Here is a 24728-nt window from a genome sequence, read left to right on the forward strand (position 1 = left end):
CAAAGTTCTATTCAACTTTGAGACTTAGGCTGCCAGTATTCCCACCAGGTCACATTTGGCTAAGACAGCTTTACACAGAGAAATGAAGGTCATCAGCATAAAGACAGAGATGTTCAGAGCTTAAGGAGGAAAAGTAGACAATATCATATGAGGACAGAAAGAGGCACGGGGATGCATAACACTGTATTAAGATGAATATTACAAAGCTGAAACAAAGAGTTTTTAAATTCTAATTTGCATTTCCAAAAGTTATATGCACAGATACTTGCACTGCTTCATTTCCTCTCTACATGGGGGTCTGGGTGGCTATCTGGAAGAAAAGAAAAAAGCTTATCAATTTTTTTTTTAGTGCCCTATTGAACACATCACTGCATTTTAATCTGGGACAGATGGTGGAAAATGGCATCTGGTTAATCAGGGGTTCATAGATTATTTGGTGATACAACTTAACTGTGCTGATGAAGAAATGAGAAATTTTGTCTCTTCCCTAGAGCAGCATTATAAAGCATCCTTCCTGGTGTTTAAAATTGATTGTGCATTCTATTGGTTAAAGAGTGGCATTTTGAAAATAAAATTAGGGCTGATTTGCATTTGTGTTGAAACAGTTGCACAGGCATTTGATAAGAATAGTTCTTTTTTCTTTTAGAACACATTTACAGTTTGCATTTATTTATATTAACTCAATGTTTTATTCAACATTGTTTTAAAAGACAAGACAAACATGGATATAATTACTCATAAAGAAAATAACTCTTATGAGTGAGAATGATTACTATGTATTTCATTTGGGAAAATAAAACACAATTTTTTTTATTAATAAGGACACAGGCAATACTTCAGTAAATGTACCAAGGTAATTCAATTTTATAACGGACAATTTTAAAAGGCATTTTGAAACATTATATATTATTAATTTTTACATCTAGAATTGTACTTGTAGATGCCATCAGAATACTCGATCAATATCTGTTTATTCAGATTTAAGCTCCATGACTTAGTTGCATTACATTTAATTTATGTGTATTTCCTTGATTCACAGTCTGTAGTAAATTCTGATTGCTTACACCTGGGCAAAATGTCTTTAAAATTGTCAATAACTTCCAGGCAGTAAAAAAAATGAATTGCATGTTGATGGTAAAAGAAAACAAACTGCTACATGTGATGCATGCAGATTTATTAACTAAATAAGTCTTCATTCCTCCTCCAAGTATGATTGAAATTTATAGTCTTGCTAGAAAACTCTATTTTCCAAGAAAGTGTTTGCAAAGACATTTGTACAGTAATTAAAATAGTTACTTTTCCAGTAATTATAATAGGGAACTTGGAAATATGCAAAATAATAATCTTATTTTATTTATGGTATATCATATTATCTTTGAAAAGCAACTCAGGTGACATGATGTTTAAAAGTTTTAATCTCCTAAATGAAAAATATGTTGCTATTGTAGAATTGGTCTTGTAAGATGGTGTCAGAGACAAAAATCATAGGAAAGTTCATAGATTTTTTTAATTTTTAAGTTATTTCACGTAAATCATCAATGGACTCTAGGAAGACATAATCCCTCCCACCCCTACCACACACACATACGAAAAACTTTACATTTTAAAAGGCCAGGCAAATACTACTGAGACAGAGAAATATATAGTAAGCACCTGGTTGTAAATTTAACCATAACCATCCAGAAAGATCAGTTATAAAATGGACATTCTGGGCTGAGTATCAATGGTTACATAAATTGAACTTTGTCAGGAAAGGGAGGGAACTGAGTTTCTAAGTGGGCCAGAGGTGAAAAGCAGGTTTTGTGAAACACCTAGGGATGCTGCAGTTGAATAGCCTGCAATTGGAAGGTAGATCTAAGAAGTAAAAATACTAAAAAAAAAAAAAAAAAAAAAAAAAAAAAATTAAGATACTACTTTGTTATAAAATACCTTGACGATTCTGTGCTGATGATACATGAATCAGCCTCCTCCCATCAGTACAGTGAACTTGGTCAATGAACTGACTCTAATGTGTGCTTCTTTGCCCCAAACAGTCATAGGGCAGAAGGTCTAAGCTTTAGAAGTTGAATCCTATGGGAGAGGGCATAGCATTCATGTACCATGACAGACACATGTTCATTCTCTGCCCCATAAGGGGCAAACACCATTCTGGGTACTTAGGGCATGAACGTGAAAAAAATAGACCAAAGTTTTGAGGTGTGGGGTATATATTACAAGAAGAGAAGAGAGAGCACAAACATATAAACAAATAAATAAACATGTTCCAGATGGCAATAAATTTTATAAAAATAACAAAACAGGGTAGGGAGGATAGAAAATACAAGGATGCTATTTTAGAGAAGGTGATCAGGAAAGATCTTCCAGGCACAGTGACATTTGACAGAGATGTAGAGGAAGTAAACCATGAGCTATGTGGATGTTCTAGGGAAGTGTACTACTGGCAAAGGAAACAGCAGGAACAGCTCGGAGAGTTTCTGTTTAAGGACCAGCAAGGCAGGCAGCAAGTGAGGCTGCAGGGCTGTGGGCAGAAGGAGGATGATGGAAGATGATGGCTCAGAGCTGGTGATAACAAAGAGGCGAGATCAATCAGAACCTTTTGGCCGCTCTAGGAAACTTGGCTTTTCTTTTCACTGAGGCAAGAGGCCACTGGACATTTTTGAGTAGAGTGATGTGATCTGGTTTCTCTTTTAAATAGCTTATTTTAGCTACTCTGAGGAAACTGAAAAGAAGGAAGACAACAACAAGCTGTTGCAACAATTCAGACCAAGGGTGCTAAGAGTTTGGACCACATTGCTAACAACAGTAGTGAGAAATCAGTGCCTATTCTGATGTGAGTCAATGGGATTTGCTGATAGACTGGGGGTAGTGTGTGATAGGAGAGAGAAGTGAAGAGAAGTAATCCATGACGCCAAGTTTTCTGATCCACATAATTAAAAGGATGGAGCTACCATTTACTGAAATGGAGTTGATAATGGGAAAAAAGTAAATCTGAAGTCCATTTGGGGGCCATAATTATTTTGAGATACTTCTTAGCTATTCGTGGACAGATCAAAAGATGTGACATGCTTATCTTGAAAAAAAAAAAAAAACTAAAGAATGAATGAACTAGAGGAATATGGTAAGATTACCAGATAGGCCTAAAAATCACCAGAGTTTGTGAATTTCCTCCAGTGGATTAAAAACTCCACCAGAAATAAGAACAATTGAGTTAGAGCAAGAAGGTAGGGATGTTTGGTGAAGTGGTTAAGGTTTGGAAAAATACTTAGAAATATTTTATCTTCTAAACATTATAGGGGTAGGGATGTTATGGCCAACTGTGTGGCTTGGAAAAGTTCCTTAATTAATTCTCATTGCTTCTACTCAGTACGCAGTTCTTATAAATCAGAGAGAACATCTCTTTCAGGTTGTATCAGGAGCATTCTCAAACTAACACTCATAAATCGGCAATTTAGGCAGGGAGGAAAGGAATATTCACCGATTACCTGCTATATTCCAGACACCGTGCATGCCGCTTCACACATATTATCTTAATTGATCTTCCCGACACATTTTCGATGTGGAAACTCTTATTTTCATTTTAGAGGTGAATAAAGGTTAAAGGTTAAAGATTCACCTACTTAACATAGCTGGGCAGGGATAGAGCATGGAATTTGCCTTACCTGCCATCATTTCCATCTGAAGAAGTTGAAAAGCTGTCTCCAAATATTTTGGTATGAGATGGGGTACATAAATACTTGTTAATAACTTGTTCGACTGCATTATGTCTAGACAAGAATATATTAAATTCGGAAAAGAAATAATTTTAGGAGTGTAAGCTTTATGAGGATTTAGTCCATGCTGTCTTATATACAGGTGTATTCTATTCATTCACTCACCTAATATTCATTTGGTGCTTACAATAGGAAAGGAGGTTTTTTGTTTATTTGTGTTTGCCTGTTTGAGATGGAGTCTCGCTCTGTCACCCAGGCTGGAGTGCAGTGGCTCAACGTCAGCTCACTGCAACATCCACCTCCCTGTTTCAAGCAATTCTTGTGCCTCAGCCTCCCGTGTAGGGGGGACTACAGGTGCGCGCCACTATGCCTGCCTAATTTTTGTATTTTTGGTAGAGACAGGCTTTCGCCAGGTAGGCCAGGCTGGTCTCAAACTCCTGTCCTCAAGTGATCCACCCACCTCAGCCTCTCAAAGTCCTGGGATCAGAGGCATGAGCCAGCACGTGGGGCTAGGCTAGGAGTTATGTGCTCCATAGTTAAATAAGATACAGTTCTTGTTCTTGAGAATTTCCTATTTTATATATATAGACAGCCAGATAATAGCACACTGTTTCTACTTTAAAGGCTGCACTCCTCTTGCCTGTTTAATATTCAACTGCCTATAATCCAGGGCTTTGCAAAAAATCATTCACTGCTTTTTTGCAGTGATCAGTTAATCAAGCAGAGCCACAAAGGGACTCAAGCAAGGGTAGTAGAAGGCTGGCTTCTGGAATACAGGAAAAGCCTCTGTTTGCCAGAGCCCAAGGTTTTAAATACAGACAAAGTCAAAGGCTGGGAAGAAAGCAATGTGCGCTCATAGATAGCATGGACCCAGGAGATCAGCCCCAGGGATGGAGATCAGATGGAAGCCAACATTGCTGGTCTAAATAGAGGCAGACCAAGTTTAGAAATTGAAGCACAGAAGTTCAACTGTTTCAAAGAGATTTACTGCAGCTTTGAAAAACACGAACTGAAAATCAGGGGTGAGTGTGGCAGGGCCCACAAGCTCTCAAAGAAAGAGAGGGAAGCGCTAACTGGGCAGCTTCTTTGGCTTCTTAGGCTTTAGACCCTTCTGAAGATGCTGTATATCTTTCTCTATCAGGACCCAGGGAAGTTGGGTTGTTCCCTGGGAATACTTACTGCTGCACCAGGAGGAAGAGACAGCTACAGTGCCCTAAGTCCCCAGCTCCAGTAGCCCTTAAGGATCCCTGGTCTACTTCAGCTCCTCTTTCGAAGCTGCCTCACTCTGAGTAGTTTTTTCTCCCTCTAAGAGAGGCCTATTACCCTTGCTGCTGCTGCTGGTGGTGGTGGGGGTGTCCTAGATTTGTCTAGTTGTTTGAGTTTGGGGGCTAGATCTTGTATTGGAGTTGAACTTCAACTTTTTTTAAGGGGCAAGGCTCTTGACTGAAATTTCTTTGGTAAACTCTTGTTCCTAGAAAAAATCCAGCATTTGGCTCCCTTTCATTGACCTTTTCATTCTGTGGATACTAAGCCTCATTGATCTCCCAGCTAGATTCACATGCCTTGGGATATTGCCTGGTTCTAGGAGGGACAGTAGGTCATATCATGATAGCAGTGGATGAGCATGGTGCTGTGAGGCTGGCTGAAGTGGCCCTCGATAAAGGTCAGAAACAATAGGCAGAAGGGTACACCATTTATACCTACTGGTAAAGTCCATTGGTAGCCCATGGCTGGACAGAAAAGCAATAGCCCCTTTCAGAGGATGGAAGTTAAAGTACTAGTTATAAAACTAAAGAAAATATTTAGGCCACTGGAAGTAATGGTTCATTATGATTATTAAAACAACAATGACAACCTGCAGGCTAAGGATGTCTTTAAGATATTGTAGAATGCCTGAGTAGATAAAATATGAGGCAAAATAAATGGCAGGGAATAAATGGATCTGATAAGTGGATGACTTACTATCCAAGATGTAGCATAATTTCCACAAGGCTATATTCTAAAATATGCAGTTAATGCCATAAGCACAAAAGTATAAAATGCACTGGGATCTCAATATGCCAAATGCACTTTAGAGTCCAGTGGGCTTGATCTTGCTGAGGATGGCCATGCCTCAACAGATTTTAGTCTCCTAGACCTTAGGTCATTTGTATTATCTGATAGCATAAAGGTATGTGGCATCATGGAATGAGCTAAGTACCACATTGGAGAAATCTCCCCGGATACCCAATGATCCCCAGGACATTTCATTCTGTTCATATCCCAGTACCAGCAGAAGACAGAGCAATCTCAGATGCAGCCTCTGCCAATCTCGAGATTCCTTCTGCCAGATCTTTATGTCATCTCAGAAGAATAGTATTTTTTTTTTGTATCCTTGTCCTAGATCCACTTCACACTGTGTTAAGCAAAGTGGCTGAGAAAATGCAGAGTTATTTCAGGCTGAGACCTATATCGGATAATCATAAGGGCTGTGTACACCATAGGATGGAATTCACTTGCTTTATTTTTCAACATTTAACACAGTGAAAGATTTAAACATAAATTATTTGATTGGCTCACTCACTTACTTGCAAGGAAGCTCCTGAATCACTGTATGATCCCCATGCTCCCCCAACCAATTCCTGAAACTTGGAACCGAAGCATTATTTTGGAAACACCAATGCAACAGAAATACATGCTATTACCCTGGGGCCAGTACACCTTATTCTGACCCATGCTTCCCTCTCTCTAGGATTGCTCTCCACGGGGAAATGTATCTTGTTCTTTGGCCATTCTCATGCAGAGACACTGTTCCTTCCCCATGTACCTGTTAGGATTCAGAACAAGAAGTCACTTAACTCTTTTTACGTCGAATAGTTAAGAGTACACAATTATTCAGGAAATTGTAACTTTGATGTATTTAAATATAAGAAGCATCTGCTTGGAATCTGACCCACGTTTGTAGTTCATGGGTCAATCAGAAAATTAGGCAGGGTTTTAAATGATGTTTTCACTGCTCTGCAAGGTGCAGGCTAAAACCTTTCCTCTTCACTCATAGGTGGGAATTGAACAATGAGAACACATGGACACAGGAAGGGGAACATCACATTCTGGGGACTGTTGTGGGGTGGGGGGCGGGGGGAGGGATAGCATTAGGAGATATACCTAATGCTAAATGACGAGTTAATGGGTGCAGCACACCAGCATGGCACATGTATATATATGTAACTAACCTGCACATTGTGCACATGTACCCTAAAACTTAAAGTATAATAATAAAAAAATAAAATAAAATAAAATAAAAAGAAAGAACTCACCCAGTGCAGCTCCCTTCTTCCAAGTGTTGACTCTTCTCCAGAATTTGCTTGCTTTTGTCTCTCGCCAGTGCCTTCAGGTGGCTGTTTTGTAGTTTTTCCAGCATTTATAGTTATTTTCTTTGGGAAGGGCAGTCTGATTGAAGCTTATTCACACATTTTGAAGGCATCCCTGAGGAAACAGGAAGAAAAATTTGCACTGTTAACCCTTTGCCTTGCGATCAAAAAGTTTGTAATTATTATATACATATCCTTTCTTGGCTTTGATTCTTTTGTGATATGTGTGTCAGAAAAAAAAAAGAAGAAATAAAAGAAAGGCAAGAAGATGAATGGAAGAAAGAGATAAAATAAGGCTTTTGATTAATGTATAATGACATATCCACAATTACAGTATCAGGCAGAATAGTTTCCTGTTCCTAAAAGTTTCCCATTCTCTGCCTATTCATCACTTCCTCCCTCCTTTCAAATTCATGACAATCATTCATCCTTCTACTGTCTCCATAGTTTTGTCTTTTCCAGAATGTCACATATTTGGAATTATGAAGTATGTAGCCTTTTCAGACTGACTTCTTTTACTTAGTAATATGCACTTAGGATTTATCAATGCATTTTAATAGCTTCACAGCTCATTTTCTTTTAGCACTAAATAATATTTCGTTGTATGGATATACCACACTTTATTCATCCATTCATCTCCTGAAGGGCATCTTGGTTGCTTCCAAGTTTTGGCAATTATAAATACAGTGCTGTAAACATCTCTGTGCAGGTTTTTATGTGGACATACGTTTTTAATTTATTTGGATAAACACCAAGAAGTGCAATTGCTGGATCATACGGTAAGAGTATATTTAGTTTTGTAAGAACTGTCAAACCAAATGGTACAGTGGCTGTACCATTTTGTGTTCCCACCAGCAATGAATGAGAGTTTCAGTTGCTCCACATTCGTGTCAGAATTTAGTGTTATCATTATTTTCAATTTTAGCATTCTACCAGATATGTAGTTGTATCTCATTGTTGTTTTAATTCTCAATTCCCTAATGACATATACTATTGAGAATACCCACAATTTTACAACATGGTATACTACCACTGCTGCCATTACTTGCAAACACCTAGTTAAAACTTTCTATGTACTAGGCACTATGCAGAGTACTTTTCATATATTTTCTCATAACCCTACGAGTCAGATACACCATTATTATGCATTTTCAGGAAAAAAATCCTGAAGTTGAGAAGAGTTAAGTACACTGCTAGTAAATGTTGAATCTATGACGCTGGGGTCTTTCTGACTCCAAATCTCATCTTTTAACCACTACATACATTTTTCCTCAAAGTGTGATCCCGAATCCCATACTTCAAACCAAGCAGGATGGTGATAAAAATTCAGAATTCTGAATTGTAAAATATTGCATTAGAATCTTCATGCTGGGTGTGGATCTGGAGTGGGAGAAACTGAAACACACTCAAGATTAAGAGCCATTATACTACCATTCTAGGATTACTCGAAGTCCAAGTAGCAGTTTTGATACTTTGTTTCTATCTTGTATCATGTATTTCTCTTTGAAGTATATTTACAAAATCCCTGTTATTTATATAAAATAAATTATACTAAAAACATTGAGATTATATCTTAAATGTAGGTGAATATATAGTTTTCTATGTTCCCTAATTAAGGATGCTATAAAATCTTTTCCTCATACACTCTACCTTAGAGATAAATTTGACAACAGGGGAAAAAAAAAAAACAACCTCGAGTCTTTCAAATATCTACTATGTATCATTCTGGTATAGTCTGATTGTATCCTCCCAAAATTCATATTGATTCAGTTGATTCAATTGAAATCATAATCACCAAGTTGATGATATTAGGAGGTGGGGTCTTTGAGAGGTGATTAGGTCATAAAGGCAAAGCCCTGAGTGGAATTACTGTTCTTATAAAAACACTTTAGACAGGTAGCTTGCTCCTTCCCACATATGAGGACACAGCAGGTGCCACCTATAAACTAGAAAGTGGACCCTCGCCAGACTCCAAATGTGCCAGAGACTTGATCTTAGACTTCACAGCCTGTAGAACTGTGAGAAATCATTTTCTGTTTTTTATAAGCCACCCAGTTTATGACATTTTTGTTATAACAGTGCATAGGGACTAAGATATACTTTGTGCTAGGTAAATTGAACAAAGATCATACCAAATACTTCTAGCATTATGACAGATTTATCTAACTATAAAAGTCTATTTAATGTCGTTTTATTGGATGGAAAAACTGAATATATTTGCATATTTTACTATACTATATATACTATATATATGCATATATAGTGTGTGTATATATATAGTATTGTATATATGCTATACCATAGTATACCATAATATACTACATATATAGTATATTTCACGATAATTTCAGGCTAAGGAAAAAGTCATTATTGCAGGCACTCTATGAAAACTTATTAATTAAAATAAACAGACATGTTTTTGTTGTGGCTTTTGATCCAAGACAAGACATTATTAAGGATATTAACAATAGAATTGCCTGTGTTCAAATCTCTGCTATGCTTCTAAGTCATTGTGGAACTTTGGGCAAGCTTTAGTAACACCTTTTAGGTCTTGGTGTACAAGATTCTAAATGGAGATAAGGAAAGCCTCTACACTCTAGAATTATTGAATTAAAGGAGTTAGACAGTGCCTGATTCACATTATACTTTCAATAAATGTGAGCTATTATTATTTTCATTATTATTATTCTCAAAAACAAAAGGAAATTGAGTAACAGAGTGGTAGAGTGGAAAGCGTGGCAGAATGGTAGTGTGAGACCCAAAAATATAAGAATATAAATGATATGTGACAAATCCATAGTGTAGAAATTGAATACTCTGAGAATGAAAAACTGAAGAAATCACTTTTCATGGGAGTGGGCAGGGATGCATGGCTTCTTTGAGGAATCTAAATAAACTTGAAAATGTTTTTAGGTGAAAAGAATGTGTATTTGGAGTGGATGTCCTCAGGGATGTACAAATTTAGAGACTTTAGCTCTTTTTGGTAGATAGGGAAACCCCGTTTGGACCCTCAGACACAGCCCACTGTGTCAAGACTTGGCAATTTGAGGAGAGATGGTGTCAAGGTAGGTGCTGTATAAGAAAGGAATCTTAGACACATGAAGAGAAGCCATCCTTTCTTGAACCCCATTTGCAGCTACAAAATTGCAGACTGAGTACTACAGTCTTTTAAACAAGCCTGTCACTGAGTTCACAAAGGCAAGAGGCATTGTCACCTGAAGCCACAAATCCTGCTAAGAGCATTAATTGTTCTCTATATAACATAGGCTGTTTAGTTCTGCAATCAATAAGAAAGAGTGGGCTCAGATCAGGACCTATTGCTTTTCTTCAGGTAAACTTGGAATTCAACAAATAGACCACAATCTACAATTTTCTCCATAAGGCAGAATGCAGGCTAAGTTGATACATATTTACAAGCATGGAAATGAGTTAATGACCTTGAGATGAGGATCTCAGTGACATAAACCCCCATTCTCTTTACAACTTCTTGAGTTTGTCTTGGTGTTTGCTAACTCTGAGGAGGTCTAAAAGAATAAACAGTGTCTGCATTCTGCTTTCAATGCCATAAACACATTTTGGAGAGGCAGGAGCAATTTTATAGCTGTACATACACTGGAGAGAGAGCATGACCCTGGAGAGCTAGAGGTTTATCATCACTTTAAAAAATAATGGTTGAGAAGGAATTGCTCTAAGTGTAGTCTCTGTCTTTTATTTTATATTTTTTAATAGCTACCTCTTATTGAGTGTTTACTAAGAGACAAGAACTCTATTAGGCACTGTTTAAACTTTTATTTTAAAATGAAACACAGATACAGCAAACCACACAAAATTATTATAAGGCAAATACCATCTTAACCGCTACGCATGTCAAAGAATGAAATCTTGCTAGCCATCCAGAAGTCTCTATACATTCTCTGTCCTCTCTGTCTCCAAAAATAACCACCCTCTTGACTTTCATATTAATCTTTTTTTGCATTTTTATTGTTTACCATTTAAGTGAACATCCTAAGGCATTATAATGTCATCAATTTTCAAATTGATATGTCTTTTAGCTTCAATATCATCAATGTGTCATCTCCCTTGTTCCCACAAACTCCTTTCCCTTAAAATTAATCTGTTGACAAATATGGGCCACTTGTGGATTTTACCCCAGGGTGGATTTGATGAGTATATTGATATACTCATGGTGCCAATTTACATGTTCTTCTCTTCTCTGCATTTCCAGCAAGTGGCAGCAGGAACCTTGATCAAACTCAGCTTTTATATTGTTTGCAACACTATAGGTAGCACTGAATCTTTCATCAGGAGGCAAATTGATGCTCAACGGCAGTTGGTTATTTTCTTGGTGATTATAAAATGGTGATACTCTAATTCTATCCATTATTTTTACACATTAGCTCAAATAATTTCATATGTAAGGTAATTCTTCCTTTCACCTACAATTTGGTTACCCAGGGGCATAACTCCAAAAAGGACAGAACTGAAGTTTTTATGATAGGTTTTGTGATAATAAATTGGTTCCCTATCATCCTCATCAATTAGGATTTAAATTTATCTGATGGATCCCAATGCACTGTAATTTTTATCCTTATTGAAGTGCTATTTTTTCCTTCTTCATCCAGGTGGAGGCTTTTCAAGGTTAACTTTTGATTCCTCTTGAACTAGTAGTCTTTGATACTTCCCATGTTAGTTCATAACAAAATGTTTCAGATTTATCTGGTGTGCTCCTTTTCTTATATCTGTATTCAGCACTTTTCTAAGAAATTCTGTTTTGTTTGTCTGTTTGTTTGTTTGTTTGTTTTAACACCACAACCTGGTTGCAAGTGATAGTCATTGCTACTAGGGTTGCCAAAGTTAGCACATAAAAATACAAGCCACGTAGTCACCTACTTGGGACATACTTATACTAAAAAATTATTCGTTGTGTATCTGAAACTCAAATTTAATTGAGCACCCTGCATTTTATTTGACAATTAATTTATACTAGGTCAGTCATTATTTTTAGACCGAGTTAATCTAGGTCCTCTGAGAAGCAGGTGCAAGTGGATGTGCAAGAGAGTTATTGGAGAAAATGCCTGTGAGGGAATAAAAGAGTGAATGGAAAAAGCAGGAATAACCCTTTGACTGTGATGTAGGCTTTACTGCTGTGAAGGTCAATGGGAAGAAAGGAGAATAGATAGAAAGAGTCTCAAACTGTAGTTCAGGTCTAAGAAATATTTAGGAGGGTTCTCAAACCAAAGCTGTCCAACGGAGGATTCCCACAAGCCCTATGAAGGGGACTGCTTCAGTATCTCTGCCGCCTGCACTCAGTCATTCGCCTAGCACAAGCTGTGGGAAGCATAGCCTCACTGCTAATGCTGTTGTGCATTAGGAATGAGATAATAATGATATCTCCAAATGAAAATGTCCAATTCAATTTCAGGGCTATTTTCTAAAGGAACATCTTCTATTTGCCTCTTATCTATAGTGAAAATTATAGTTCTTAAAGCCTTGGCGATTAGAGAGTTAGAACATCTCATAATTACTCATTTACTTTTCCAATATTATACACACAACAGAAAAAAAAGTAACTATACAAATATTACCACCACCCATTATAATTATTGAAAATATGTTTTCTTGCATATGCTATCTCATTCTCTCCATTTGGTTGTACTAAATCTACATTGGTAGATAATATAGCTGTTATGTACTCTTTCCTACTTAACACTCAATTTGTCTTATTCTACTATCACTAAATGTGTAATCCACCATAATTCTTAGGCTTATGTCTCTCCAGTTCTGGAATGTTCGCAGTGGCTCTTAGTGACATGAGGTATTGGACAATTGAAACATGTCTGGTCTAAATTGGTATGTTCGTAAGCATAAAATACATACTGGATATTGGAAATTTACTATACGATGTAAAGTCTCATAGACAATTTTCATATATATTAGATATCAAAATGATAAAACGTTTAGTGTGTTGGGATAAATAAAATATACCATTGATTTAAATTCTTCTGTTTCTTTTTACTTTCTTCAGGTGGCTACTAAAAAATTTAAAATTACACACTTTTTTTTATTTAATGGCGATGTTCCTGTTAATTTTGTTTTCTAAAACTGATTTCTAGAAGACTCCTCAAAAAACTCCCACGAGGACAATATTCCTTGGGTGATTGCATGTTGGTAACAGTCTTTCTATGACCGTTATAATTGAAATTCAGTTTTACTGAATATAAAACCTCCGGTCCATATTGTCTTTTCTTGAATGTCTTAAATATGTTACTTCATTTTTTTCTCTCTAAGATAAAGTGTTACTGTTGGAAAGTTTAATAATAATAATCTTAGTTCCTTTTTAACTCAAGTATTCTTTTGCCCTACATGCCCAAGTAATTCTTTTTTTCCTCTTTCTTAATTTTACTTCGTGTTGATTGTACTACGTTAATATTATCAGTTACACTATGAGATTTTTCAGTAAGTTTAATTGATTTTTTTAAATTTCAGGATTACTTTCTTATACTTTTTTTTTTTTTTTGAGACAGAGTCTTGCACTGTCACCCGGGAGTGCAATGGTGTGATCTCGGCTCACTGCAACCTCTGCCGCCTGGGTTCAAGTGATCCTCCTGCCTCAGCCTCCTGAGTAGCTGGGATTACAGGCACCTACCACCACACCTGGCTAATTTTCTGTATTTTTAGTAGAGCTGGGGTTTCACTATGTTGGCTAGGCTGGTTTTGAACTTCTGACCTCGTGATCCACCCGCCTCGGCTTCCCAAAGTACTGGGATTACAGGCGTGAGCCACCGCGCCCAGTCAGTATTGAATTTTTTTTTTTTTTTTTTAAATCCTTGCTTTATTCTCTCACTCAGAAACTCCTATAACATTCATGGATCTTTTTGCCATCTATAATACATGTCACATTTTCTTGAAACCTCTTTCTTTATTTTTTAATTTCTTTTTAGTGTTAAATATTTTTCTCCTTCTCAACTTGATTTCCTTTAAAGTGTTATTTTTGTACTTATATCCTCTTATTTTCCTTCTAGATTAGTCTTATTCCTACTATGCTGTTTCTTTTCTTTCTAATTTTTTCTTGAGTTTGATCTCTTTTTCTACTTCTGATTAATGTTTTTTTCATGTGTTGCATGATGATTTTCTTAATGTCCTTTAGCTTATTTTAAAATAATATGTTACACTTTTGAAAACATTTTGAGCATGACATTTTTTGGCAGGCTTATTTTGTCAATAGCAGAAGTTGGTAAATTTCCTGTAAGGTTCAAGACAGTAAATATTTTACACTGTGTAGGCCATATGGCCTGTCACAAATACTTAACATTGCCATTGTACCATGAAGATAGTCATAAGCAATATGTAAATGAATGAGAGTAGCTATGTACCAATAAAACTTTATTTCTAAAAACAGAAAGTAGACTGGATTTGGCCTCTGGGCTACAATTTGCCAGTCTCTGGTCCATAGGAATTTCATTCTATGTTTCCTTGTAGCAACTTTGTTTTGGGGGCTAAACTTTACATACATGGCATTTGACCTTGATAGTTTTCTGTTGCTCATTTTTGTATAAATTTAGTTTTTTTGAACTTTTAGATAGGTAAAATTTAAGACTGACTTTTCAACCTAAAGGAGATCCTTCTTCTCTTGTTATGTAACAGTAAAAAATAGATATATTGGCTTGTTTTCATAGATTTCTTATATCTGTTTACCTGGAAACAGGTTTGTCTGGATTTTCTCTTTCCTGCATTTTTATTATGTCTATTCAGTTCAATTTTGACTCCACTTCTAGTAGTTTATCCTCAGTATGGGGTCCTGTTTTGGAAAGATGCCTGGAAGTTTGGTTTCAAGAGTTCACAGGATCTAGACTGCACCAGCCACCTAAGACCTTGACATAGACCTGCTAAGAACAACGAAACAGCTGAGATTTTATACTGCTTTCGAGCTAATGAGTTAACCCGCCAGGTTTATGGATGTCGGCAAAAGACATGAGACTGAGGGTCAGAGACAAAGACTTTGATTACTCATAGTATAATGAGTAGGATGAACATGAACGTATTTGTGTGAGTTCTTCTTCTCCTCAAGTACCATGGGAGGGGTGGTTAAGCCAGATGGATGCCTACCCACACAGTAGATTGCAGTTTATAGAAGAGGAACCCTGAGCTTAAGGAACCCAAATCTTTTATAATGGGGAGTAAGCATGCTTGTTTTTTGTTCCAGAGGAAGACATTATCTTTTTTATACTGAAGAGTAATAATGCTTGTCCTTTGCTCCAGAGGAAGATACTAGTCCTTCTTTCCAGGTTAATTGCTGCACAAATATTCTTTAAAAGATATTATGAAACAGGGTATTTTCTTCTGATAAGAAATGCAGAAATATGAGGGACCAATTTCCTGTTGGGAAAGGGGCTCCCCACAGGGCCCATTTTACTTACTGTTGGAATGCACAAAACCTCTCCTAGTTCCACTCAGTGTTCTTATGTTGGTCCACTGTAGTTTCTAGTGAATATGCATTGACTATTTGGGGGTTCCTTTCTTAAATATTTTGGAATTATCACAACTGTAATTTGCCCTACTGCTTTCTTCTGCATTCGCTCACATAGACACAAGGGCACCCACACTGTGTGGCTTTTGGTGTTTACGGATTTGCATAGGTATCTAGTTATTTAGAAGTGGTGTAAATGTTGTACATTTGGTTCTGATATCTAACTCTCTATCTAGCCTAAACCCATGCTGTCATCACAGCAGCCTATCTTCCCAAAATAACCCTTTCAAAAAAAGTATGCCAAGCCTGATTTTACCTTTTTTGAAGTCCTCATTTTGAGCATAAACTTTATTTTTCCCTAAAATACTTATATTTTTCCCTAAAATACTTATTTCTAAGATCTTCCTAAGTTGCATAAAAATACTTGTCTCTCCTACCCCTCCCCCATACTAAGTGGTACTAAGTTGTTATTATTTTAAGTGGAGGGGCCAGTGTTTTCTTTCTTTGCTTTCTATAACATTCTGTATCTTATTTTCTTGCTATATTTGTATACCCCATCTATCAGCAATTCCCCTTACCCTCTTTCCAAATATGTTGTCAAAAACTAGCAAAGCAGATAAACAAGCTTATTTAATATGTGTGCAGAGGATGTAAAGCAAAAATAACTATCTTCTGAGATTGAGCATAATCTTAGAAATTTCTATTGACTTTATGGTCCTTTTGGCAGTATATATAGTCTAGAGGAATTTAAGCTGTATTTACAACAACAAATATTTTATTCAATTTCAATATTTCCTCAGCATTTTGCCCATTATAGCTCTTCCTCCTCCAAATTTAGTATAGTGTTTATATATTAGGTAAGAAATAAATTAGGAGTGATAGTGCAAACATAATTCTCTCCAAATTCTCCTGTGAGCTCTCCACACTGGAAGCTTGGTACTTCATAACACGTAGTACCTGCTCCTAAGCAGTAGAAAATTCCATGCTTATGTGGCTTTTACTTAATGTTTTAGAACTAAGCAATATCTGATGGGTTCTTACTCATATCCAACATCAGTAGATCAGATGCTGATATGATGAATCTTGATAAGATGAATCTTGATATTCAGAGGAATATCAAGACTATGTAATTCCTACATGTCAAGTAGAGAAAAGTAAAATATTCTGGGACAACAGAAAGAGAAAATATATTTTCCCTGGATGATCCTATTCAGTAAAATAAAAAATACAAGATTATAGGAGATGCTAATAGAGCTTAATATTGAGAGGGTGAATAAAGATTTTTTTTTCAAAGAGCATTTCCTCTGAGGCTCCCCCTACTTAGGCAAGGAGACTGATGTAGACCCCTACCCACCACCCCCTGAGCACACACACACAGTTAACTCCAGTCCCCAACAGAATTCCTCTCCACTAAGCATTGATATTAGTAGAAAAGATAAGATGCCCCATATGACAATTAGGATGCTGAACAAGCTATTAGGTTGGTGTAAAAAAATTGCGGTTTTGCCATTACTTTTTTTTTTTTTTTTTGAGACAGAATCTCACTCTGTCACCCAGGCTGGAGTGCAGTGGCGCCATCTTGGCTCACTGCAACCTCCGCCTCCCGGGTTCAAGTGATTCTCCTGCCTCAGCTTCCCTAGCAGCTGGGATTACAGTCACGTACCACCACACCAAGCTAATTTTATTTATTTTTTTTTTTTGGTATTCTTAGTGGAGACGGGGTTTCGCCATTTGACCGGCTTGGTCTCGAACTCCTGACCTCAAATGATCCACTTGCCTTGACCTCCCAAAGTGCTAGGGCTATTATATTTAATTGCAAAAACCACAGTTACATTTGCACCAACCTAATATTAGAAACTAAAGGCATTCAATTGTGCAGTGAGATAGACACTACAAAGAGTGAAAGAAGAAAGTCCCTGTGAACTTGCGATGGGAAGGTTGTGAAAGGTGTTGAGTCCTAATAGATCAGTTATATTCGGGAAGATGAAAATGTGAGTGGATGGCTTCTCCATGTGAAAGGTCAGGGGACCCCTGAAGGGAAGAGGACTGCCCATTTGTCCTGTGAGGCTTTTGATGTCCTATTAACTAAGATTAAACACTCTTATAAGTGTTGCTCAGTAAATCAAGTTGCTAACTGAAGGGTGATTTTCTAGTCATTGATATGTAAGAACTATCATATCTGTAATAGATTCCTCCTCCTCCTCTGATGCTTACGGTCTAATTGTTAAGTGTAACAAATGATAAAATATTACAAGGCAAGGTAAGCTTGAAATTAATTAGTAATATCAAGTATAACTTACTGACAGAGGAATGAGGAAGTTACACTTTTGACTGCATTCTAAAATTATACAAATATATAGAAAACCAATGGCAGAAGCAATATTTAGGCATAACCAGTGGGATTTATGGTATTTCATTTCATGATTCTTATGAAGGTGTTAATAAGCCAATAAGACTTACTACACCCTAACATCCCTAACAACTTCAGAATGTATTCTCTTGGCGTTTCCCTTCCCTTTTTCTCCTCCTACTCTACCTTGTCTCTTCCTCTTCTTTCTCTTTCTTCTTTGATTTGGATAAAGATCTGTGACTTTAGTAAATATTTAGATATGCAGGATAGAAACTGAGTGACTTAAACATTTCCTTACTCTCCCAAAAAGATACAGATGTGTGACAGATTGACAGACAGATGAATATAACAAGGGATATACACTAGCAAGCAACTCATCGTGTCTAATAGATGAAACAGAATTAAACAATGTTCAGTATTGAAAGATGTGTTTTAATGTGTCTTATTTCAATGTACTTTGCCTCCCCTGATATCCCGAAACTATTATTTGTATAATCACCTGACTCTGCATGGTGAAAGGAACCCAAGGACTTGGCCTCAAGTTTCCTTTGGCAATAGTGGAAGAAAAATCCCCAGTGGTAGAAAGTCAATTGGTAGAGACAATGCCAGGGACTCTTTAATGTCAGCGGATGCTCTAGGGCTATTGCACCAGAATCTTCGACTATCTCTTGTTTTCTAGGGGAAAATTCATGGGAGAATTTGAATCTAGTACTAAATCTTTAAAAACAAATTGAACATTGTGGAAGTGTTAAAAAAGATGAAAATCTTTCCTTCCAAAAATTAGTCAAGATCTTACAGTAGAATTTTCTCTTTCGATTTGTAAAAGATTTTCTAGAATGGGAAATGTGTTTTGTGCTATTATGGGAATTTTATAAGGAAAGAAATTGAGTAACCACTATGAAGTCTAAATCTAAGAGAAGGCTCAGTAATATCGTACTTTTCAAGGAATAAAGGAAGATTATTTTGAATCATTAGGGAATCTTGTCTTGGTTATGGAAACGAGAAATACCAGATTCAAAGAAATTTATTCATCACAGGCAGACATTATCTCAAAAGGACAAATGCGATGCCAATGTTTCTAAATACTCCTCCATACATAGCAACCTCTGTCATTTGTAGACAAATCTGATTGAGAAAACTTTATTTTATTTCTAAAGAGTTGTGAAAATCAGGAAAAAAAATACCATTAATATCAGCTCAAAGAGATGATGGAAGGTTTTCTTTTTTCTTTTTTACTGTGCCGACATAACCAATTCATTAAATGACAACTCTTAAAAAATAAAGAGCAAAATAAAGAAACACACATCCCTTGTTGGGCATCTAGTGGGTAAACATGACAACAGCAGGTAAATTTCTCACGTTCTCAAGTTGTTTTGGTGTTACAATTCAGCTACATGTATACAGAGAAAAGCATACACGGTAAAATAATCTGCATTGTTTTACTGTCTTAATTCCTGTATATATGACACAGAAGGGCGGTGGGGTGAAAGGAAGATGTGAGGTTTTAAATATAGCAAAAAAAAAAAAAAAAAGAGAGATTTGACAACACTGGACCTCAGTAGGCATGGGCAATTTGTTCAATATCTTCAGGTCTCCAGAGAGCAAGAATGACTCTCAGGATATTGCAACTCTGTCTGCTTCCACCAGAGATCATAATTGGGCTATGAATTTTTATAACAGGAAAGTCTTCCTGTCAAAGACAGAGACTGACAAAAACTTTAGTTAACTGATACTGAAAGAAACTCAAAACAGAATGAATAGTATACATGAGTATCACTTATATATATAGTGCCTTTACTTCTTTCTTCTTTTTTACTTTAAAAGTAAATTCCTGTTATAGTTTACTGGTTAGAGCTTCTAAAATGTAGCTTGTTTATGAGGATTGCTCAGCATACTGGTTTTCTGTCCAGGGACATGATGTGCATTTTGGGGAATTCAAAACCCGATTGAGGTGAGTAGAGGTCATTCATAAATCGAAACCAAATGATAGCAGAAGATATGAACTAAAGCTATTTCTTTATCTGCAAAGAGCTAATTGGGCATATTTCAGGCCAAGTCTCTGAAGACACAGCTCGTGAACTCTGTCTTCTTGATGCTGTGCTCATTATAGACACTCAACAGAGGACTGGCTAATGCTAGGGAAATCCCCATCAAGGTGGTCTTTACATGACACTGCAGATTTACCTCAGGAAGGGGAGCAAAGAGAAGGAAAATGCAGTGAGGGTTTCTAGCAACTAGCTGCTTGTGGAGTACTGTTTGCCTTGTCTAATTTATCTGAAACTGAAGAGTTTGTCTCTAAAGGGTATCCTACTTCAGAAAATCTCAAGGGACATTTGTCTTTCTGACATATCAGCTGTTAGCTAGACCTTATTTCTTACTTGGTTGTTTTTAGAGTAAATTTTGGTTCTTTGGTCCTTTGTCTGCTATTTGAGGTGGAGGATTAAATACTGCATAGATGACCTATGTATGTATAGAACAACCTAATTTTGCCACAGATACCAAAACACTATAACGATAATCTTCAATTAATCCAATTATTATCTAAATTTCATAACCCGTCCTCAATTATCTACCTTAATATTTCTAGGTAAAGAGAGATGTACTGCATTGACTTCCTGTTTTTAAAGGGTAAAACAGCAAGAGAAAGAAAGACATTGTAGATATTCACAATGTTGTATGTGAGGAAGTTTTTGAATGGCTTCAGAAACCCAAATGAATATATTGAGAAAGCAGCATTGTGAGTTCTGTCTACATGTGAACCCAAAACTAGGATTTGAGGTAATCCATTTTCAGAAAGAAGTGATGGAGTTTGAATTCTAGGAAATCTTCCTGAATAAAATGGCCATGTGTTGTAAAGTTTAGATATTTATAACCCAAAATAGAAGGAATTTTGCTAGGTGATCTCTCCAGTTCCTTTTCAGTTATGAGAGTCTGATTTCTTCCCATGAAAAGTGTAGAAAAACTTCCTTTACTGTTATATGAATGTTATAAAATGTATGCTTGTCCATGAATTAGCTGATCAAAGATAATACATGAAAAAGTATTCAAAATACTCTGTGAATCTTTTTTTTAAAAAACTCTCTTTAAATAGATTTTTGTATTCAGAAGTTATGCTTTGTAAATACATTTTAAATTTCAGATTTAAACATTATCAAGACAAAATTGTGACTATGTGCATGTAAAACTAGAGAGCACTGGAAAATATGGTGGATGGTAAGGGCCTTTTGCAAGGTAATTAACTTATCTATTGAGTTTTTTTTTTTTAATTTCTAAGTACTTAATTGACTCTCCCACTAAAATTTAAACATATACAAATAATTTTTCATTCAGAAGATAGGCATTTGATTTATAACATCAACATATCATCACAAAAACTTAGAGAATGAGAATATCTTAATGGGCACCTGGTCTAAACATTTTAATTTTACCAGGTAAAAAGGTGGAAGTGGCATGGCATGGTGGCTCATGTCTGTAATCCCAGCACTCTGGGAGGCCGGGGTGGGCGGATAACTAGGTCAGGAGATCGAGACAATGCCGGCTAACACGGTGAAACCCCGTCTCCACTAAAAATGCAAAAAATTAGCTTGGTGTGGTGGCGCGCGCCTGTAGTCCCAGCTACTTGGGAGGCTGAGGCAGGAGAATGTTTCTTTAAAAATAACATCATTAGAAACCATACAAAACAGAACTGCAAATACTCCCTTCTAAGGTGTAAGGTATTCCAACATTTCTTGTTTGGACGTTAGAATTTTTTCTTCAGTAAGAAATTAAGTTGAAAATGAAGTAGAACATCTTACACTGTAATTCAAGTGCAATACATTAAAAAAATAAAAACAGTGTTTAAATTGGGAAAATCCGTTTACATGTGATTAAGTTTTAATCAGTGCCCTTAACCCAGATCTCAACAGCTAAAAATGTTCTTAGCTTGACAAAATAACAACCCATCCCCAAGGACAAATACTTAAATCAAAGAAGCATTTTATAAATAAAAAAATTCACGCACACATACACACACAGACCCCCACAATACATGAAACATATAATAATGTTTGTCTTTATTTGTAATGAAGTGGATTTTATACTGAATTCAGAACACAGATGCAAATTCAACAGTTGAACTCAATCAAATAAGTAATCTTATATAAAAGGATATCTCCCTCCAGCATGTACTTATCCTGTGTGACAGATATCTCTGTAATAAAGTAAATTCCTTCAACTCAAGCAGATTGTCCGAAATGGAAACACAATGAAAGGATGAATATACTCAAATAATCAACAGAAGAGCAAAATATAAAAATGCGAACATTTTCTGAATAATGCAGATGCCCTCCCTCCAAAAGAATTACATGTGAGGGAATATCTATATTGTCATAATTACTGGATAAGCTGCCCAATAGCTATTACACTAATGTTTCATTAAAAATATATATTTGCTTTATGCTTTTGCAACTTGCAAAGTTATTCCTAGCAAAAAGTTATTTCTCCTGAAACAGAATAAATAGGTCTTTCACAATATGCACTGGAATACATATTTTTGAAAAACAAGATCTCCACTCACCTCTAATTCTATCTTTCTGCTGGTGATTACTGATATATTTATTTTAAAATACATACTTTATAGGAAGTATCGTTACAATTAATATTTAGGACAACATTATAATTCGTGTTTTAGAAACTACTAAGGCAAGAGGACAGCTCCTACCATTCTACAAAAGTCTTTCAGTTAAGAAGTGACTAATTAATGGACTGAGTGGCTCAGAGCAGGGAGCCAGTCCTTAGCCAATAAAGCCCAACTCACTGCCACCCCACTGCCCCATATTCTCTGTCCTCTCTGCTGGAACTGTCTTGTGCTGAATACATGAACACCTAAATATTCAACTCACTCCTGCCATTTCTCCGGTAAGCAATCTTCCACAACCTGTGCCTGAGACTTGGAGGCTGTTTGTGGTCCACAGGCTTTAGGCGCCCTAGGGAAAGCCACGTGCACTAGTGCATCTGGATGAACTGTGGACTTTGTCTATCCGCGGTAATTCAACTTCCTAAGAGCTACATTGACTCATTGATTTGTATCCAGGCTCCGGGCTCCCAATTCCCACACAACGTAAGCTCCCTGCAGCCAGGGGATTTGGTAGGTTTGCCGTGTTGTTTAGTTTCTCTCCCCTGCGACCCTCTCTCTGAGCCTCACAGTGTGTTTGGCACGTGGTAGGTGCTCGGTAAACCTACTTTGAATGGGAGAGGGTTGTGTTGAAGAAAGGAAAGGCTGGGAGGACTTAAGATTTGAAGGTTTTCCTACACGTGTCCAGGAAGAAAGAAAAAGAAAAAAGAAATGAGTATCAGAGTCTTATCATCATTACAGTTCTTATGGTTTTTAACCGACCTTTAGGAGTTCCACCGACGTGACCCAAGCAGCTGGTAGGAGAATCTGGGCTGGATTCGGAAGGCGCAGCTACAGGACGCCCGCTGCCCCGGATCGGAAGGCGCAGCACCTCAGGCCACAATCTCAGACACGCCCTCGGGTCCCGACAGGTGTTGCCCGCCTCCCACGGGGCTCCGGGACCCCGGTCCCCGGGCTGCCCCCTGCCTTCTGGGGCGCTGGAGCGCGCGCAGTGGCGGAGCTGGAGCCACCCAGTGCTTCGCACGGGCGCGCTCCGCTTCTCCGGGTTTTAGCGGAAGCCTGCGGGGGGCGGGGTAACCGCGGAAGCCGGCGGCCGTGGGCGCGCGGGTTGGGGGCTCTCGCGCCGCTCCGGGCTCTCCCCCCCCCCGGCTGCGGTTGCCGAAGAGAGGCCGGAGCGCGGCGCCCGGCTGCTCCACCTGGCGCGCTGAGCACCGCGCGGGGAGCCCCCGGGGGCGGGCGGTGGGGGGCGCGGACTGCGGGAAGAAGGCACGAGGCGTCGCCGCAGCTCGGTCAGGGGCCGGGGCCCCGCCGCTCGCCGCTGCACTAACTTGCCGCTTGGTCTCGCCTCGCCGCCGCGGCTCGCTGCGCTTTGGGTGGCGGGGGGCGGGGAGAGCGGGGAGTCAGAGGGTCTGCGGTGGCCGAGGGAGGGACCCTACGACGGGGAGCCCGCCCGGTGCCGCTCTTCTTCCCCTCCCCGCCCCTCCGCTCCCCCCACCCCGTCCCTTCCGCCGATTCCGGGAGCGACGGGCGCCCGTGACCTGCGAACGCTGCCAAGTGACGGTCCCCGAGTCTGAAGCGCCCGCGAGGAAGCGAGCGCCAGCGCGGGCCGCCGGCGATGACGGCCGCGAAGCAGGAGCCGCAGCCCACCCCGGGGGCCAGGGCGAGCCAGGCGCAGCCGGCGGACCAGGTGAGAGTCGGCAGCCGCGGCCAGGCCCTCCCGGGAGGGGTGGCTCCAGTGCGCGCTCCGCCCGCCTCCCGCTTCCCAGGCTGGGCTCCCGCGCCTCCCTCTTCTCACCCTCCCCCGCCCCGCCCCAGTTCCAGGCTCTCCTGCTTCTCCACGGACTCTGCGGGAAGTTAGAGCCTCTGCGTGCGCTCCGGGGCCCGGCGAGAGGATGCGCAAGGTGGAGAGCCGCGGGGAAGGGGGCAGAGAGGTAAAGGCTGAAGGTGCCCCGGGGAACCCCGGCGGGCGGCCCACCGAGGGAGGGAGAGGCGGCCGGGACCAAGGAATGGGGCCTCTTGGTTCCCCATTAACGCACGCTGAAGAAATCTGCTGCGCTCCTGACGGCCGCTCACCGGGTTCGAGCCCCGTCCTCCTATAGCCGGGGCGCTCGCTGGCCAAAGCGACCCGAGCAGGCGAATGACCTTTAGGCGGACGGGGTTTTCCCTCTGCTTTCTTGTTTCTTTTGAGGAGACGGGTGTGTGTTTGTGAGGTGGGGATGGGGGAAGAGTGTCCCAGACA

At 38.7% G+C, this 24728-nt stretch overlaps 1 protein-coding gene and 1 long non-coding RNA gene across 21 annotated transcripts in view; one reads left to right on the plus strand and one right to left on the minus strand.

Moving 5' to 3' along the window:
• The window catches only part of DPP10 (dipeptidyl peptidase like 10), a 1403140-nt gene that overhangs the window by 695212 nt on the left and 683200 nt on the right, over nt 1-24728 (plus strand). For 3 of the 20 annotated variants that reach the window (NM_001321906.2, XM_047445202.1, NM_001399851.1), the window contains exons 1-2: nt 23565-24176; nt 24305-24420. The exons of 11 other annotated variants lie outside the window; for them this stretch is intronic. In NM_001321906.2, coding sequence (NP_001308835.2) covers nt 24382-24420 — 39 coding nt within the window. In that variant the 5' untranslated portion in view covers nt 23565-24176; nt 24305-24381. 20 annotated transcript variants of the gene reach the window in all.
• On the minus strand, nt 6196-23491 carry DPP10-AS1 (DPP10 antisense RNA 1). Its single transcript, NR_036580.1, has 3 exons — nt 23252-23491; nt 7007-7175; nt 6196-6516 (listed from the first exon to the last, which is right to left on the minus strand). It is a non-coding gene; the product is annotated as a DPP10 antisense RNA 1 (long non-coding RNA).

Source organism: Homo sapiens, chromosome 2 (assembly GCF_000001405.40).
Source record: "Homo sapiens chromosome 2, GRCh38.p14 Primary Assembly".
Classification (NCBI taxonomy): Eukaryota; Metazoa; Chordata; class Mammalia; order Primates; family Hominidae; genus Homo; species Homo sapiens.